The sequence below is a fragment of the Homo sapiens genome, chromosome 1 (assembly GCF_000001405.40).
Source record: "Homo sapiens chromosome 1, GRCh38.p14 Primary Assembly".
In the NCBI taxonomy this organism is placed as follows: domain Eukaryota; kingdom Metazoa; phylum Chordata; class Mammalia; order Primates; family Hominidae; genus Homo; species Homo sapiens.
This window is the reverse complement of record NC_000001.11, coordinates 91580992-91600042: the sequence shown is the minus strand read 5'-3', so window position 1 is coordinate 91600042 and position 19051 is coordinate 91580992. Positions and strand designations below refer to the sequence as shown.

Here is a 19051-nt window from a genome sequence, read left to right as displayed (position 1 = left end):
ACTGGACCCAGCCCTCATTATTGTTTTTGAGGTATAATTTGCATGCAGTAAAATTCATCCTTTTTAGCATTCTATGAGCTTTGGCCAATGTATGTATTCATATAAACACCACCACAGTCAAGCTATAGAATGTTTCCAACATGTCACGACGTTTGTTTATGCCCCTGTAGTCAACCTTTCCCCCCACACTAGCCCCTCAAAACCACCGATGTGGCCAGGTGTGGTGGCTCATGCCTGTAATCCCAACACTTTGGGAGGCTGAGGCGGATGGATCACCTGAGGTCAGGAGTTCAAGACCAGCCTGACCAATATGGTGAAACCCTGTTTCTACTACAAATACAAAAAATTAGCCGGGCGTGGTGGCAGGCGCCTATAATCCCAGCTATTCAGGAGGCTGAGGCAGGAGAATCCTTGAACCTGGGAGGCGGAGGTTGCAGTGAGCTGAGATCGTGCCATTTGCATTCCAGCCTGGGCAACAGAGCGAAACTCCATCTCAAAACGACAACAACAACAACAACAAAACACCGATCTGTTGTCCATCTCTATAGTCTTCCCTTTTACAGAATGTCCTATACATGGAATCATATAGGAAGCAGCTTCTTAAATGTGGTTTCTTTCACTTAAAATAACACATTTGAGATTCATCTATGTTTTTGTGTGTGTCAAGAGTCTGTCACTTTCCTTGTTAAGTAGTATTCTATTGTGTGGATATACCCATTGTTTATCCACTCACCATTTGAAGGGCATTTGGGCTATTTCCGGATTGGGACGATTATAAATAAACCTACCATCAACATTCATGTACAGGTTTTTGTGTGAACATAAGTTTTCAATTCACTTGGGTAAATTCCCAGATAAATAAGAGTAAGATTGTTGAGTTGAATAAGTGTTTATAAATGTATGCTCAACTTCATTTTAAAAAGAAACCTACCGGCCGTGGCTCACACCTGTAATCCCAGCACTTTGGGAGGCCAAGGCGGGCGGATCACCTGAGGTCAGGAGTTCGAAACCAGCCTGGCCAACATGGAGAAACCCTGTCTCAACTGAAATACAAAAAACAATTAGCCAGACATGGTGGCATGCGTTGTAGTCCCAGCTACTGGGGAGGCTGAGGCAGGGGAATCGCTTGAACCCGGGAGGCGGAGGTTGCAGTGAGCCAGGATTGCGCCACTGCATTCCAGCCTGGAGACAGAGCAAGATTCCATCTAAAAAAATAAAAAAATAAAAGAAACCCGCCAAACTATTTTCCAAAGTAGATGTAGGATTTGCAAGTTCTAATTATCCACATCCTCACCAGCACTTAGCACAGACACACCTGGTTTTATTGTGCATTGCTTTATTGTGCTTCACAAATACTGTGCTTTTTACTAATTGAAGGTCTGTGGCAATCCCGCATTGAGCAAGTCTATTGGTGCCATTTTTCCAACAGCAAGTGTTCACTTTGGGTCTCTGTGTCACAGTTTGGTAATTCTCACAATATTTCAAATGTTTTCATTATTATTATATATGCTATGTTAGTCTGTGATCAGTGATCTTTGATGTTACTATCATAATTGTTTTGATACACTGCAAACCACCCATCTATAAGATGGTGAACTTGATCAATAAATGTCATGTGTGTCCGACTGCTCTATTGACTCGCTGTTCCTCCCTCTCTCTCCCTCTCCTCGAGCCTTCCTATTCCCTGAGACACAATTTTTACATTAGGCCAATTAATAACCGTACAATGGCTTCTAAGTGTTCAAGTGAAAGGAAGGGTCACACATCTCTCACTTTAAATTAAAAGCTAGAAATGATTAAGCTTAGTGAATAAGACATGTTGAAAGCTGAAATAGGCTGAAAGCTAGGCCTCTTGCACCAATTAACCAATTAACCAAGTTGTGATTGCAAAGAAAAGGTTTTTGAAGGAAATTAAAAATGCTACTCCAGTGAACACACAAATGATAAGAAAGCAAAGCAGCCTTATTACTGATATGGAGAAATTTAAGTGGTCTGGATAAAAGATCAAACCAGCCACCACATTCCCTTAAGCCAAAGCCTAATCCAAAACAAGCTCCTAACTCTCTTCAATTCTGTGAAGGCTGCAGAAGAAAAGTTTGAGGTTAGTAGAGGTTGGTTCACAAGGTTTAAGGAAAGAAGCCATCTCCATCACATAAAAGTGCAAGGCGAAGCAGCAAGTGCTGATGTAGAAGCTGCAGCAAGTTATCCAGAAGATCTAGCAAAGATCATAGATGAAGGTGGCTACACTACACAACAGATTTTTAATGGAGATGAAACAGGCTTATATTGGAAGAAGATGCCATCTATGGCTTTCATAGCTAGAGAGGTGAAGTCAATGCCTGGCTTCAAAGCTTCAAAGGATAGGCTGACTCTCTTGATAAGGGTTAATGCAGTTGATGACTTTAAGGTGAAGCCAATGCTCATTTACCATTCCAGAAATCCTAGGGCCCTTAGAATCTTGCTAACGTGTGCTCTGTAAGTGGAATAACAAAGCCTGGATGACAACACGTCTATTTCCAGCATGGTTTATTGAATGTTCTAAGCCCATTATTGAAAGCTACTGCTCAGAAAAGAAGATTCCTTTTAAAATATGACTGCTCTTTGACAATGAACCTGTCACCCAAGAGCTCTGAGTGGAGATGTACAAGGAGGCTAATGTTGTTTTCATGCCTGCCAACACAACATCCATTCTGCAGCCCATGAATCAGGAGCTTATTTCTTATTATTTAAGAAATACATTTCATAAGGCTATAGTTGCCACACATAGTGACTCCTCTGAGGGATCTGGAAGTACATGGAAAATCTTCTGGAAAGGATTCACCATTCTAGATGACATTAAGAACATTTGTGATTCATCAGAAGAGGTCAAAATATTAGCATCAATAAGAGTCTGAAAGAAGTTGATTCTAATCCTGATGGATGACTTTGAGGGGTTCAAGAAGTCAGTGGAGGAAGTCACTGCAGATGTGGTAGAAATAGCAAAAGAACTAGAGTTAGAAGTGGAGCCTAAAGGTGTGACTGAATTCCTGCAATCTCATGATCAAAGTTGAACAGATGAGAAGTTGCTTCTTAGGGATGAGTAAAAAAGTGGTTTCTTGAGATAGAACATATTCTGTTGAAGACGCCATGAACATTGTTAAAATGACAACAAAAAATTTAGAATATTCTATCAACTTAGTTGATAAAACAGTGGCAGGGTTTGAGAGGATTGACCCCAATTTTGAAAGAAGTTCTACTGTGAGTAAAATGCTATCAAACAGCATCTAATGCTGCAGGGAAGATGTTCATGAAAGGAAGAGTCAATAGATGTGGGAAACTTCATTTTTATCTTTAAGAAATTGCCACAGCCACTCCAACTTTCAGCAACCACTCCCCTGATGAGTCAGCAGCCATCAACACTGAGGCAAGACACTCCACCAGCAAAAAGATGATAACTTGCTGAAGGCTTGGGTAATTGTTAGCATTTTTCAGCAATAAAGTATTTTAAAATTAAGATACATACATTTTTTAAGACATAATGCTCTCGTACACTTAGTAGACTACAATATAGAGTAAACATAACTTCTATATGCTCTGCGAAACCAAAAAAATTCACGTGACTTGTTTTTTTTTTGTGATATTCGCTTTGTCCTGGTGGCAACTGAACCCTGCATATCTCTGAGGTGTGCCTGTATTGTAATTTTTAATTTTAGGTATTCTGTGTGTGGTGGAATGTCACTGTGGCCTTAACTTGCATTTCCTTAATGGCTAATGATATCGAGCATCTTTTCATGTGTTTATTTGCCATCTTTATATCTCTTTTGGTGAAGGGTCTGTTCAAATCCACTAAAGTGACATGATCACAGTTCCGTGTTAGGAGATTATCCTGGCAGTGGTGCCCTGCCTTTCTACTCAAGCTATCGAATGAGGACTGACAGCATCTGCATCTCCCAGGGGCTTGGTAAAAATGCAGCACTTTGGCCTCATCCCAGTCCAGCCCAATCAGACTCTGCATTTGAACAAGATCCCCAGGTGATTTGTGTGCATGTTAAACTTTGAGAAGCACTGGTGTTCAGAAGAAATTAGAGGAGAGGGGAAAAATGTAAGGGACAAATTTAGGAAGCTATTGCCATATGGAGAACTTAGGAAGGCCGAACAGTTAGGCAAAGGAAGTAAGAATCCACACATCTACTGGCCCAGTCTGGAAACTTGGCTCAGGGTTTGAGTCCCTATATGTTCCCTTACTTGTGTCCTGCTGCTGGATAAAGGCCCATGTGGTAACAAAGAGGGTCTTCAGAGGAAATCCCATTACCTAGAACAGCAGACACATCTGTCCAGGCCTCTAGTTACAACCTGAGGGATGGTAGCGTGGGGAGGCTTGTGGGGTCCCTAAGGCAGCACAAGGATAGGATTCCGTTTAATCAATTACTTTAGCCAATACTGGCAGTGCCTCTGACACCGTGCTGGATACACATTAGTAAGGTCCAGCCCTCAGATGAAAGTCATGATCTAGTGGAAGAGACAGAGAGACGTAATTACAATTCAATAGGATCAGTGTCATAGCAGAGATCTCTCCCTCTCTTTCTCTAAAATACTGTACAAGCCCAGAACTTAGAGAAGGGGCAGAGGGATTCAGAAAAAAGTTAACAGTTGACTTGGGTTTTAGAATTTAATAATAGCTAACATTGATGGAGCACCATCATGGAGCTATGTGCCAGACCTGTATTTTAGATTACACATTACTATGTTTATTCCTCACAATGGCCTTCTGAGATAGGAACTGTTGTTAGCCCCATTTTATAGACAAGGTAACCATGGGCACGCCCCAGGCCTCTTAGCTAGATTCCCACTCAGTCTGTCTGGCACCAATGTTTGCATTCTTAACTGAGCTTGCACTGTGAGCCAGGGGGTGTCCGAGAGAACCCCAGGAAGAACAGATGCAGAAACCAGTGTCCATGGCCCAAGGAGCTCCCAGACCTTGCCTCTGCCCCTTTGCCCAGAGTGACTGAAGAGAATGACAGATGCCTAGGCAAAGCCTTCAAGCTGCTTGGGGGAGGTCAGGAATTGCCGGGGGCACCTGGCTGTCTTGTTTGCTGCTGAGCAGCCTTCGGTCAAGCTTCCATGGTCAGCCTTTGCTCCGGCCACTGCCTTTCTCTGCAAGCAGAGCTGGACAGTGTCAAAGCTTGGCTCTCCTTCGATCTCACATAACTGTGGATTTCTCCTCTATCTAAGGAGATAAAGCCAAAGACAGGGTTTTGCTATTTCTCAGCAGCCCCTGACAGCATAGAGGTCTGTACATTGTAAAGATTTCCGAAAAGGAACTCTGTTATGGTTTTTAGAAGTAAACCTGGAGATGCAGGGTAGACATGCCCCTCAGCATGCCTTTGTAAAGGCCTCTTGCCCCCGCAACAACTGCCACCCCTGCTCCCGACATGTCAGTTGGACTTAGTATGCTCCTTGAGTTCAAGGACATGTATGCACTTTACATTCTTCTTGCAGTGCCTTCGCACTGTGCCTACCCAAGGGAGGCGCTCCAGAAGTGTTGGTTGTGCCAACACCTCAGGAGGCTGAAGCATGGGGAGTTTGTGCCTCACAGGAGTGAGGAGCACAGCCTCTGGATCTAGGCTGCCAGACTGATCCTGTCCCGGCCCCTTAACAGCTGTGCGACATTAAGCAAGTTGCTGAAACTCTCTGGGCCTTAGATGTTCCCCTGGAAGACGGAGATAATTGTTCCTCTTTCCTACAGATGTTGCGAGGTTTAAGTGAGTTATAAATACTGGTGGTCCCGACTTAAAATTTTTTGGCTCTATAATGGTGCAAAAGTGACACTCATTCAGTAGAAACTGAACTTTAAATTCTGAATTTTTGATTTTTAATGATTATAAAATTTTTATTTTAATGATTATAAAAGATGCTTTGTATTCCATAATTATGCCCAATTGTAGGCTAATGTAAGTGTTCTGAGCATGTTTAAGGTAGGCTAGGCTAAGCTGTGATGTCAGTAGGTTAGATGTACATGCATTTTTGACTTACTACAGGTTTATTGGAACACCCCATTGTAGGTCCCAGCCTGTAAAGTGCTTAGAAGAGTATCTAACCCATATTAAGCACAATGTAATGATTAGCATACTAGAAGAGAGCAGTTTTTGGAATCAGACCTGGATTGGACTGGGTTGGAATCCCAGTCCCATCCCCTTCTAGCTATGACCTTGGGCAAGTTACTGAGCCTCTCTAAGTGTCAGCTTCCACATCTGAAAAATGGGGATGATAACACCTTCATCGGAGGATGAGGGAGAGGAGGAGAAGCAGTAACAAGACCAGGTGCGGTGACTCACACCTATAATCCCAGCACTTTAGAATGCCGAGGCAGGCAGATCACTTGAAGCCAGGAGTTTGAGACCAGCCTGGCCAACATGGTAAAACCCGTTTCTACTAAAAATACAAAATATATTAGCTAGGCATGGTAATGGATGCCTGTAGTCCCAGCTACTCAGGAGGCTGAGGCAGGAGAATTGCTTGAATCGTGAGGCAGAGGTTGTAGTGAGCCGAGGTCGCACCACTGCACTCCAGCCTGGGAGACAGAGGAAGACTCTGTCCCCCATCTCACCCCCACAACTCCACTCCCCAAAAAAGGCAGTAACAAAAGTAAAAGGCTGGCCTGGTGCCTGCTCGGAATAAGACTGCTGTAATCATATGGTTTCTTGATTCACTTGTCCACCTGATCTGAGGGGAAGGCAGACATGGCTGCTCTTTGGTTGACCTGATAAGGTGCCTTCACCCCTATCTAGGGTAAGTGGAAGTCATGGGCAATTGGAGGTCAAAGGCAACAGGACAGCTGAGTTGTGTTCATGGTGAACCTAACACTTAAAAAGCCAGAACCTGACAGATGAATTCAGTAGGTGCCCTGAGGTAAGACAGCAAAATGGCCCCTAGTTCAGGAAGCAAACACTAGAAAATGTGGTGGCTGCAGGGGCCGAGGACAGGGACCCAGAACTGGAGCCACCTCCAAGCCATGGTTTCCCAGAACCTCTGTGTATTTCTGCCCTCGGCAATCTGCCTGCAGCCTGGGTCTCTGTCTCATTTCATAGCTCACTACCTGTTTCTAGGTATTTCAGGCTCTGTACAGATGAGTCTGTGCCATTTGGTGTTGCTGGGACTGGAGTTCTCAGTAAACCTTGCTGACAGATAATGTGCAACATCAGAGTACTTCCAGCGAACCTTGGGTCAAGAACAGGGAGGGGGAGGAGAGATGAAGAGCAAACATCCACAGAAGATCAGTGGAGAAAGCCTGACTCTTAGTAGAACTCCTGTACAGGGTGGCCAAGGACACGGTCTTCTGAGTTTCTTCGAAGGTGGCCTTGGGTGGATGGTCTCAGGAGGCTCTTTATCACCTCCGTCTTCTGATGCATCTTCACTGTGACCATGGCAGTGGGGCACCTCCCATCCCTTTGAGTACAGCCTTCGGGAGCTCCTGGGGAGGAGGTGCATGGAAGGTGGGCGAGGGTTGACACTAGAGAGGTGGGCAGCACCGAATCACAGAGGGCTTTGGCTGCGGAGCCAAGGAATCCGAATCGCATTGTGTAAGCAACTGGCAGCCAGTGAGGGACTTTAATCAGGGAAGCAGAATGATTTGATGGGTGTTTTAGAAACTTTGTTCTCTGCTGGGCGGGCCTGGTGGCTCATGCCTGTAATCCCAGCACTTTGGGAGGCCGAGGCAGGTGGATCACAAGGTCAGGAGATCGAGACCATCCTGCCTGACACGGTGAAACCCCGTCTCTACTAAAAATACAAAAAATTAGCCCGGCATGGAGGCGGGCGCCTGTGGTCCCAGCTACGCAGGAGACTGAGCCAGGAGAATGGCGTGAACCCGGGAGGCGGAGCTTGCAGTGAGCCAAGACTGAACCACTGCACTCCAACCTGGGTGACAGAGCGAGACTCCCTCTCAAAAAAAAAGAAACTTTGTTCTCCGCTGTGTGGAAGATAAGCATCTTGAGAAGATAAAGGAAACACTGTCTAATTTTTTTTAATGTACTATATTTTCCAAGTGAAGCCTACATCACTGATATCACTTTCCTCTAGTTACGTATTTTTTATTGATGCAATCTCTTTAAAAGGTCAAGGAAAATTTTTATTATCTTAAGCCTTTGATGATGCCCTAGTTTGTCCTTTCCCCACCATGTAAAGTAGGGCACAGAGAAATCAGGCAACTTTCCCAAACTCCTGCAGTGGGTTAGCACAGCCAGAAAGGACTTCACAGAGTCTGGATTCTCAGAACTGTGCTCAAATTAGATCCTGCTGCAATCCACCCACACAACCAGGTTTGCACTTACCTCCTAAAAAGTTGCTTTCAACTTCGAAAAAGAGAATACCCAGGTTTTCGAAACCTGGCTGAGATCGAGTTCCATGTTAGATTTTTGCAGATCACAGCCTTAGTTTTCTTCTGCAATACCAGCCTTGCATCATTAATGTTTCTCAGTGGTTTTCCTGCCAGTCCCTTCGCTGTATTCCGAGTGTAAACAGTGTCAATGTTGACCTCTAGGCCAGCGGGGCTACCAGACCCAAAAGAACCTCACCTCGGGAAATGTGAAGGGGGCGTCAGCACTGGATAGAGAAGTCAATGTTGCCTGCCTTCTAATATCTCCAGTGCGCCTCTTCCTTTACTGCAGAAACTTGCCTCAGACTTTTGCATGAGTCAGCAGTTTCTTCTAATCGGCTGGAGTTGTGGCGGCTGCTCCGCAGTCCATCCCACTGTACTATGTCTCTAGAGCACACCTGGCAGGAAGGGACTGTGTGCAGAAAGGATGTTCAGATGTTCATGAGGCTGCATTTATACTACACTATGAATTTCATGTAAGTTCTTCTGCTATTTGAAGTCGAAAGTGGTGCACTATATATCACTGCAATTTATTTCAAATTCTATCTATGCTGTTCCCAAATGCAACATAAATGCATTGCTGTCATTTGTACAAATGACTTCCAAATGGTGCTGTGACAAACAGGTATGTTTCCACACAGTTTTGCTCTTTTCAAAATACTGCATAGTACTTTGATTCTGGTCCATGTCTGACACACTTACCCGTGAGTCTTCTAAGGAAAAACCAACAGCAGGTGAAAAACCCTAGATCACTCAAGAAAACAAAATTTGAGCTTTTAAAATTCCATATTGTTGGACTCAATTGGACTTTGGGCTCTGGGGAATGAACAATGCCTTTGTCCACAAATGTAGGTTTCCAAAGAAAAGTACGGCAGGCTTCAAGGGAATCAAGCCTGCAGACAAGTTAGGACTTTTACAAATAAAATAGAAAATATAAATCTTGTGCTTTTTAAGCATCTACTTGTAAGATATTTTCAGCCAGAGAGTAAAAGCGTGCATTTTCTAGCAAGGATGCCTTACAAACCTGTCTCTGCAAACAGGTGTAAGCATGCATGTAAAAGCAGGGGGTAGCCACTTTATTGTCCCTCAGAGAATAAAGTGTTGTCCCAACAGGATACAACATTCACCTTGCTCTGAACAAAGCCCTGAGTGGAGCCTGTGCTGTATTTCACTGTGACACCATCTGGCCCCTATTCTCGAAGCTCTACATCCTCGTTTTCTCTCAATGAAGCACTAACTCAGAACAAGCTTGTGCTTATAAGAGGACTTGTATTCAGCTCAGTCCTCCGTGGAAAGGGATGGCAAATAGTGACCATGGCTGGCAAAAATCCACACGGGAGAAAGACCTCCGTGTGTGCCTTTCAGAAGTCTGAGGTGTCCAGTCTATATTGTGCTACAAGCCTCTCCTCCACATTTCTTGATTTTTAAAAAATCTTGGGTGGGCGCGGTGGTTCACGGCTGTAATCTCAGCACTCTGGGAGGCTGAGGCGGGTGGATCACAAGATCAGGAGATGGAGACCATCCTGGCCAACATGGTGAAACTCCATCTCTACCAGAAATACAAAAATTAGCTTGGCGTGGTCGCCTGTGCCTGTAATCCAGCTACTCGGGAGGCTGAGGCAGGAGAATCCCTTGAACCTGGGAAGCAGAGGTTGCAGTGAGCCAAGTTCGTGTCACTGCACTCCAGCCTGGTGACAGAGCGAGACTCCGAAAAAAAAAAAAAATTCACCGGCCTTCTTTGTATTCCCAGTCACTTGTGTGTTCTGTTACACTGTGTGATGCATTTCTATCATTCAAGGATAATTTCAGAGCTTCATTTAATTTTTGTCCTCTACCCCCAAGTCCAAATGGGGACCCCAAAACATAATGACCATCCATTATTATACCAAGGAATTCAGGAAATGCTGAGAATAATGTCCCTCAGGGTTGCTTTCTAGAATTAGCATTTAACTGTGAGCCTGAATTTCTTCCTTTTGCCACAAGGAAAAAACAATCCACTGGAGAAATTGTGTTACTGATGAAACTGAAACAAGAGCATAAAGTCAAATGTCTTCCACAAATCTTCCAGCTGGGAAAAATGAGAGCAGCTTCCCTAAAAAGGGATAAGATTCAAGATAATTGTGTTATCATCCTGAGACATGTTTACAAGATTCAAGCTTAGGGGAGCACAGTGCTATCAGGACAAAACTAGCTTGCTAATCTTGTTTTCAAATGTATTTGGAAAAGTCAACTAAAGTTAAAACTAAAAATCTCCGGCTGGAAGAGTTTTTTTAAAAAAAGGTCTAAGCCTATTTGCCCAAATTCCCAAGTTAATATTTAGTATTTATTAAAATGTGAAATTGTGACATTTAAAAAGCCACATAATTAGTTTAAGCCAGGCTTGATTTGTCTTTACCAACTTTCCTCCTACATTATATCAATAATTACATGTACTGCTTTTTTTCCCACTTATAAGCATTTTTTCATGTTATAGTCTTCATAATTATCTTTTCATTTGTACCTTAATATTCAAACCACTAAATGCACCATAAATACATTTATCATTCCCCTTTTGTTTTTTTAGGTTGCTTCCAATTTTTCACTATTGTAAATAATACTGCAATCAGCATTTTGAGTACTTTAGTTATATTTCAGCATTTGAATTACTTCCTTAGGATAGATTTCCAGACGTAGAAATAATGAATTAAATAGTATGTACATTTTTATGCCCCTGGATAGTTTGCTAAATTGTTTTTCCAAGGAATTATATACCTAGTTACTCAGTCGTTAGCAATGAATGAGAAGCTTGTTCTCACCAGCATTGGGTATTAATATGTAAAATGTGTTCATTAATTTAACAGGAAAATAATCTATTTACCTGGAAGCTTTAAAATTTTTAAGTAGGCAAATACGTCCACCTTTTCCTCTGAGCTTTCTTAACTTGCTTGAGACTTATTAAGTTGTCCCTTCTCCTACCAAGAACATTGGATTTGCAAGTATGTAGGAGGGCAGGATCCCCCTGGCCTAGGACACACTCTCCGGCAACTCCATCAAAATATCTGGAGGTGGGTCCTGGCTCCAGGGAATTCCCATGTGCAGCCAAGCCTGAGAACCTCTGGCATAGAAGGTAGGGATTTAGGCAGTGGGAAGATGAAGGCAACAGTTTCCCTTTAAGGAAGTTTGATGGAAGGCAGAGATATGATGGAAGTTTGAAGGAGTAACGGTCAAAGAAAGGTACTCTTAAAAATAAAATACATGGGCTAGGTGCGGTGGCTCACACCTGTAATCCCAGCACTTTGGGAGGCCAAGGCGGGCGGATCACCTGAGGTCAGGAGTTCGAGACCAGCCTGCCCAACATGGCGAAACCCCATCTCTGCTGAAAATACAAAATATTAGTCAGGCTTGGTGGTGGGCACCTGTAATCCCAGCTACCCAGGAGGCTGAGGCAGGAGAATCGCTTGAACCTGGCAGGTGGAGGTTGCAGTGAGCCAAGATCGTGCCACTGCACTCCAGCCCGGGCAACAAGAGCAAAACTCTGTCTCAAAAATAAATAAATAAATAAAATAAAATACGTGACCTCAATATGTTTGAAGGCAGAGGGAAAGATTCTTTGGAAAGCAAGAGAATAAAGTAAGAGAAAGAAAAATGAAGAAAACAGGAATGAGGGAGAGGAGTTGGGCCAATGTCCCAGGGAGAGGGGTGAGCATGGGAAAGGGAAAATCATTTCTGCTTAGATGTGTGAAGGAAAGAATATGGGTGAAAACGCAAGGACGTTATGAGGTATAGGAGTTTGCATGGGTTGGCCTTGATCTCAGGGCAGTGGAAATTATGTGGAATACCTACAGTGGAGAAGGGGAGAAGAGGAAGTAAAAGGATAGTTTACTAAAAGTAGTCAATTTATCAACTGGTCAGCAGCACTCTTCCAGAAAGCCTCCATTGAGAAATGGGCAACAATCTAATGACTAAAATTGGGGTTGGACATGATTAGTTGTCACTTACTCACATTATCCTTCCAAGTCTATCATGGTGGCCTGGCTCTATACATTGTATGAGGCAGGGCTCAATCAGAAAAGTGGAATCATCATGCATGAAACAGGGTAAGAGAATTTTTTTAAAATGTGGATTAGGCCTTAAGCAATTGTGGGTGCTGATGGAGACGTCAATGCCAGACTGTTGTCTCTGCATCTGGTGTTGGGACTGAAGTTGTTGTAGGCCAGAGGGAAAGGAGAACTGAATGTGCAATGAGGGTGAGCAATTAAGAACAACTGGTACTCCCATTTGTTTCACCATCTCCAGCCTTGAGGATGTGGGTGACTTGCAGAAACAGCTGGTACCTTTTGTCACAGGTGCACACATACCCGGCCCAGGACTCGGAGGGGCTGAAGGAGGGAACTGGCAGGAGCTGGAGTCCCACGCTAACAAGGTAGGCTAGGAGATACTTAACAACATACATGAGCTGCCACGGTACCTGGTACCTATACCCACCTTCCGAACACAAAAATGGCTGCTGCCTCAACTTTGCCTTCCAAATTTCACTTGCAGAACTGTAGAGGAAAGGGAATTCTGAGACTTGGCTTCATTGTGGTCCAGTTGACACCTTACAAAGCCACCACACTGTTTGAAAACAGTCTGTATTTGAAGACTCTATTTGACTGTTGGAAAACAGTGTCTATTTTCAAAAGTGCTTTGAAGTGGCCAGACGCGGTGGCTCATGCCTGTAATCACAGCACTTTGGGAGGCCAAGGTGGGCGGATCACCTGAGGTCGGGAGTTCGAGACCAGCCTGACCAACATGGAGAAACCCCGTCTCTACTAAAAATATAAAATTAGCCTGGCATGGTGGCGCATGCCTGTAATCCCAGCTACTCAGGAGGCTGAGGCAGGAGAATCGCTTGAACCCGGGAGGCGGAAGTTGCAGTGAGCCAAGATCGCACCATTGCACTCCAGCCTGGGCAACAAGAGCGAAACTCTGTCTCAAAAAAGAAAATAAATAAATACAATAAGTGCTTCGAAGCACTCTACAGACTCATGCAAGAATCCAGCACATGCAGTAGGCTGCAAGCAATGGTTGAGTTTTATAAGAGGAGAAATGTCAGCTCAAAGGTTCCAGTTTGGGCCCAAAGTCACATCTTGTATTCCTGTTGGAATGATGGCATTTAAAACTAGTTTTCTGGTCCTATAAACGAGAACAGAGACGCCCTCTCTCTGTTGGTGGTGTGCTTAGGGAGGAAACTCCCCATGCCACTGTTTCATAACTGTCACCACAGCAAGAAGTTTGGGGCAAAATAGCCCCCAGAGTTTTTGGAAATGTAGCCTTAACTGAGCTTTTCCTTGTCTTAGCACACCCTCACAGCTTAGACGTGACTGAGGATTGGGAACCATTTCCACAGCCAGCGCTGCAAACAGGGCCTGGTATGAGTAATTAACTCTCACGTGGGGGCAGCTTGCTGTGAATTTGAAGACTCTGCAATGTCCCAGATCCTCATAAAGCAGCTCAAATATTTGCCGTCCAACGAAGCATGGCTGAAATAACACAGTCTCCTCGTTGGAGGTTTTGGGAATGCAGCATCAGCTAGACCCTGGGGCCCTGTGGCTTCCGTCCTCTCCTGGAGAGGTGACCAGCTGAGGAGTCAGGCCTCCTTGGCTCCCAGGAAGGGGGAACAACATCTGCTGTGGCATGTGCCCTGCCTGCTTCATCTCTCACCTGGCTTTAAACACACAGGGAATCAACACCAAGCTAGAAGCTAGACGGCAGGCCCTCCTCCCTGTGTTTAAGCTCACACAGCCACATCTGATGCTGTGGAGAGGGCTAGTGTCAATCAGACTCAGACCCTCATTTAGTTTTCCTGCGCATGTGTGATGAAGCCAAACCATTTACTAGGACCTGGGTTTGAAGGATTTTGGAAAACATTCTTGGAACCTTGAAAGGCTGGCTTCCCAAAGAGTCTCTCAACCCCTCTCTTCTTTTTCTTTCTTCTGTGGTTTCCTTTTCCTTCTTCCCCTTCCTCTTTTTCTCTGCCCTTTGTTCTCACTCCAGAAACACATAACCAAACATTTACTGGGATCATGCCCGTGATGTAGGTAGGGGACAGGAGAATGGAAGGCACCGTGCCTGCCTTCAGGGGACCGACTGGTCAGCATGGGGGAACATGGGGTGGTGAAGGCAAAAGAGAGGGCAGATGTCAGTTGAGCCGAGTCTTGAAGCAAAGGTAAGAATTGCCAGTGGTCTCCTCCGTGCTTCGGTTGTCATTTATCTGCCCCAACTCCCTCCTTTCATACCCTTTGCCATCCACTAGGCTCTCACTGGAGAAAGAACCTGGCAGCCAGCAGTAAACTCTGACATCTTCTTATGGCCATCTCTGGCCTCATCTCCTGGGTAAAGAAATCACTCTCGAATGCAAACCCTCCTAACTTCCTGACTCTCCAGAAGTACCCAAAGTAAAATTTCAAACACCCAATCACCTGCCCACTTCTAATTAGAGCTGGCAAGTCCTCTCAGCTACGGTGGCCACTTAACATTTCTGCAATTCTCTTAGAACACGAACAGACTTTCAAATCTCTTTCCTGTTGTTCACAGTGTTCCTGGCTGCTATGGTAGATTGTGCTGTTGCCTCTATTTTCACTCATGCCCCAGCCACACCAACGCTTGTAAGAGGGCCAGAAACAGTTTTAAACATAATTTGGCTTCCAGCCTAGAGCCGAATTTATCATCCACTCTTTCCCTGGCATCACACTTGTCCTGCCAACCTCTGGTACCTGGCTCAACTGTAGCCTGAAAGAGTTAACAGCCAATAAGCCAGAACTAACTCTTAGGGGAGGAGCTTTAGAATGCTGACATGATAGTCACCAGATCTGCAAAATGGTATTCAGCAAAGTGTGAGATTGTTAGGAGACCAAATGCTAAACTTAATACATGAGACCTTGACACTAGGTACCAGATAGATCCACTTTCAGGTCCCCTTTTTGCAGAATCCTTAGGAGCAGCATGTCATTTACCCACGCTGCTTTACAAATGCTGCATCTGGAGTCAAGAAGACAATCTGAGGGGTTTGGAGGTTGCCGTCTGCCTGGTGATCAGAATGCTGCCCTTATGTCATATAGCACATCAGAGGGAAGTCATTGGACTGCATCACCTGCATCTCCTGGGAGCTTGTTAGAAATGCTGAATCTTGGGCTCACACTTGACCTGCAGAAACAGAATCTGCACGTTGACAAGATCACCAGGTGATCTGTGTGCACATTACTGTTTGAAGAGCACTGCTATAGAGTTGTACGGCAACAAAACACTTTTACATACATAAAATCCTCCTCTGAGGAAGGCAGAGGAAACTGAGGATTTGAGAAGGTGAGTGATTCTTTCAGGTCACATGGCTGGCGCCAGACATTTCTTAACTCCTACTTATTTGGCGCTCTTTCCACTGAACCACTTTGCCTCCTGCCAACAGTCAGGAGAGAATGACAGTGGCCATGGAGGCTTTCACTGAGCTCTCACCACACGCCACACATTGTTCGGATTAAGTTATTTAATATCACTGGCTCTATGAGGTGGGGGCCTTTATTTTTCTCATTTTTCTATTAGGTAAGTGGTGGAGCACCAGAATCAACTAGTGTATTCCAGACTCCATTTAAGTTGCCCACACTGAAAGTTGAATTTTGAATTTCCCAGTAGTGACTGGGAAGCAGTAAGGAAACAAGGGAATAAACCGGAACCTAGCTGTGTGACACTGGGCATGCCACATCACCCCACGTTACTTATCCAAGAAATGAGGTTGAACTGGATGATCTTTAAGGCAATTTCCAGCACTGACATTTTAGCATTCTAAATATTTCTAAATCCTTTGCTTGATATCTACTGATGGCTTTTCTTCTGAGCATCTTTGATTTAGGATCAGAAACTGTCAGCCAAGGCCAGAGGATGGGGGAAGGAGATTGGAGGCAGAGGCACATTTTACATGAATGGGACAGATGACAAGCCCCGGGACCACATCCTGCACCTGCCTGCCGGCCAGCCACAACCCAGTCTACTGTGTGGCATCGTGGGATAACTCCCAATATGGCTGTCCTGCAGAAGTTTATGAGACTAATTTAACACCACTCTTTGCAGCTGCACCACACCCAGTTCAGCTGGCAAGAGGATGCTTTTAAAGAAGAAAGGTGATCAGGTCTGGAGTGTTTCCCACAAGCCCAACGTCACACAATGAGTTAACTGCCAATGAATCAGAAACATATGGTGCTCAACAAGCTTCTCTCAGATTACGCACTGTTTAATAATCTAGGGAATCGCTATTTGTCAAAACAGTTGTAACTTGTTACCAAATGCAGGACCTCTGAGACCCAGTTTGAAATGTATTGTCAAACACGCCAGAGTCTCCAGGGCCAGATTAATGCATCTTAGCTCCATCCATGGGAGATTATTTTCCGAGTGTACCATTTGGTGATTGTAACTCAGAATGGGGTCTGACGAGAGCTGAGGTTTAAAAGACACCTGAACAATTACGCCTAAGTAAATATAGCTTAAAACAAATCACAAGTAAGCACTACTTTAGTCACAGTGCAAAAGAACACACACTTGCTGCTTCTATTTTCAGAAAATTAATGAACGATTTTAGTTATGGCAAAACAACCCTGCAGAACAAGGGTCAGTTTGCTCTTTAATCAAGAAGCTTTGCCAAATATTTACTAAAATAGGGCAGACTCCTTGTAAAAGTATAAATAGTTTTGTTTCTTATTTAAAATAAAAAGGTCTCTAGCACCTTATATGGTCTGATCCTTTGATAGCACTCAAGTGTTTCTATAGTAGGATTTCCATTGTGGTCTCTGCTAAGGAAAAAAGAAACAAAATTGCAGCACGAGGTCAGAGAAAAATGATGCTTCCCATAAAAATCCAATCGAAACTGCAGAGTAAACTGTGAGGAATGTTGTCTCATAGGATAAAGCATGTGGTGATGCTGTAATCAGACTCAGTAAGGACCAAGATTCCCGTGGCCAACTCATGATTCATCCCTTCACCTTCTTCCTTCCTTCCTGATAGCCCCAGATTCTGTGTCTCTCCCCAGTGTGGTCCAGGGGATAAGCTCCATGCTCAGCTCCAGGGGCAAGTTCTGCTTAAGCCAACCATGGGAGTTCCCTGATTGGTTTAGGAACAGTCATGTGACCCAATTCTGCCCCATGAAAAGTAGGAAGTCTACTGTGGGGAGGTTTTGGGAAACAGTTTCTTGCTCCTAAGAAAGAGGAACAGGAAGAGACAGATCTTCTTACAGGTGTTGCCGTGTTTGGATATGATGCTCCAAAGTGGCAGCCATGTTGCTTTCAGGTGAGGGTAAACCTGACACAGGGTTGGGCAAGGTAAGGAGAATCAGTGAGAGACGGAACACAGCCCTGACACATCACATCTGGAGCCCACCTGCCTTTGGATTTCCCGTTATGTGAAACAATACACTTCCTTATTGCTTAAATCAGTTCGAGTTGGTATTTCCAGTATTTGCTGCCCACAGCATCCAAACAGATCTAATATAGCTTTCAAATTCACATACCACAGACTAGCCAGCCCCCTTTTCCATTGCTGTCCTGAAAACTTTGCCTCACCCATTGTTTTGCCAAAAGTCTTCTGAAAGGGTAAAATTTCCCCAGATACCATAACATAATGCTATAGATTAATCAATATGTCTACATGGTGATCCTCAACTGATTACAACTAATTTCATTGTCATTTCTCAAGACAGGCAAACCAGAGTGGTTTTCTAAAGGGCCCTTTCTATAGTAAAAATAACATTCGGTCAGTCACACATTCATTTCCAGGACTGGTTGAGTGGATCCATCTACCTTCTCTCATGGATACCCCTTGTGACAAAGCTGAGAATGTCAAGACAGCTGATGGGACTCAGGTTAGACAACAGAGGGTCTGAAACAGCAAATCTTACCGGTTCAACCAAGAGCCAAGGGAGTTGACATAAAAAACAGATATATTCTATATTTTGCATTCAGAATGTCTTTTTTTCTTTTTATAACCTTCATCAGAGATTTTTATGTACACACATTCCAAAATGGAACAATGCAGCAAAAAGAGTCAAGGAGAATTCTAAAGCATTCTCTGCCTACATCTGATGAATGAAAGGGTTGGATTTTTCATCTTTATTTATTTGGCCTCAATGTTCAGCTTTCTTGTATCTATGAAGACCTAATTTAGCACACTTCAAATCCCTTGAGGGAGGTAGTTATTGAATGTGCTACCAGCTCTAAGAAGGAGAGCTGGAGGCTTTACTCCATGAGGGCCTCTGGCACTTAGATTACAGATTGGAGGAATGGTGGGTAATTCTCAATCAAAACTGAATCTGAAAATTATTTTTAAGACCACTTAACATGCTATCTATCTTCTTAACAAATTTTAAGTGTACATTACTGTTGACTGTAGGTTGATTAGAGCTTACTCATGTTGCTAAGTGAAACTTTATATCTATTGATTAGTAGCTCTCCATTTCCCCCTCCTCCACTAGTCCCTGGTGACCACTATTCTAGTCATTGATTTTATGAATTTGACTATTTTAGATACTTCATACAAAAGGAACCATGCAGTATTTATCTTTCTGTGTCTGGCTTATTACATTTAGCATAATTTCCTCAAGGTCTATCCATATGGTCACACAGTACAGAATTTCCTTCATTTTAAAGGCTGAATAGTATTCCATTGTGTAAATACATCACATTTTAAAAAATCCAGTCA

The 19051-nt window shown here is 43.9% G+C and overlaps 1 annotated feature.

The window, feature by feature from the left end:
- Positions 16649–17848: an enhancer, noted in NCBI's record as "P300/CBP strongly-dependent group 1 enhancer chr1:92047752-92048951 (GRCh37/hg19 assembly coordinates)". NCBI's record gives its function as "activates an origin of replication core promoter dependent on BRD2, BRD4, P300/CBP, MED14 and CDK7 cofactors, with strong dependence on P300/CBP, by STARR-seq in HCT116 cells {active_cell/tissue: HCT116}" and the evidence as "EXISTENCE:reporter gene assay evidence [ECO:0000049][PMID:35650434]".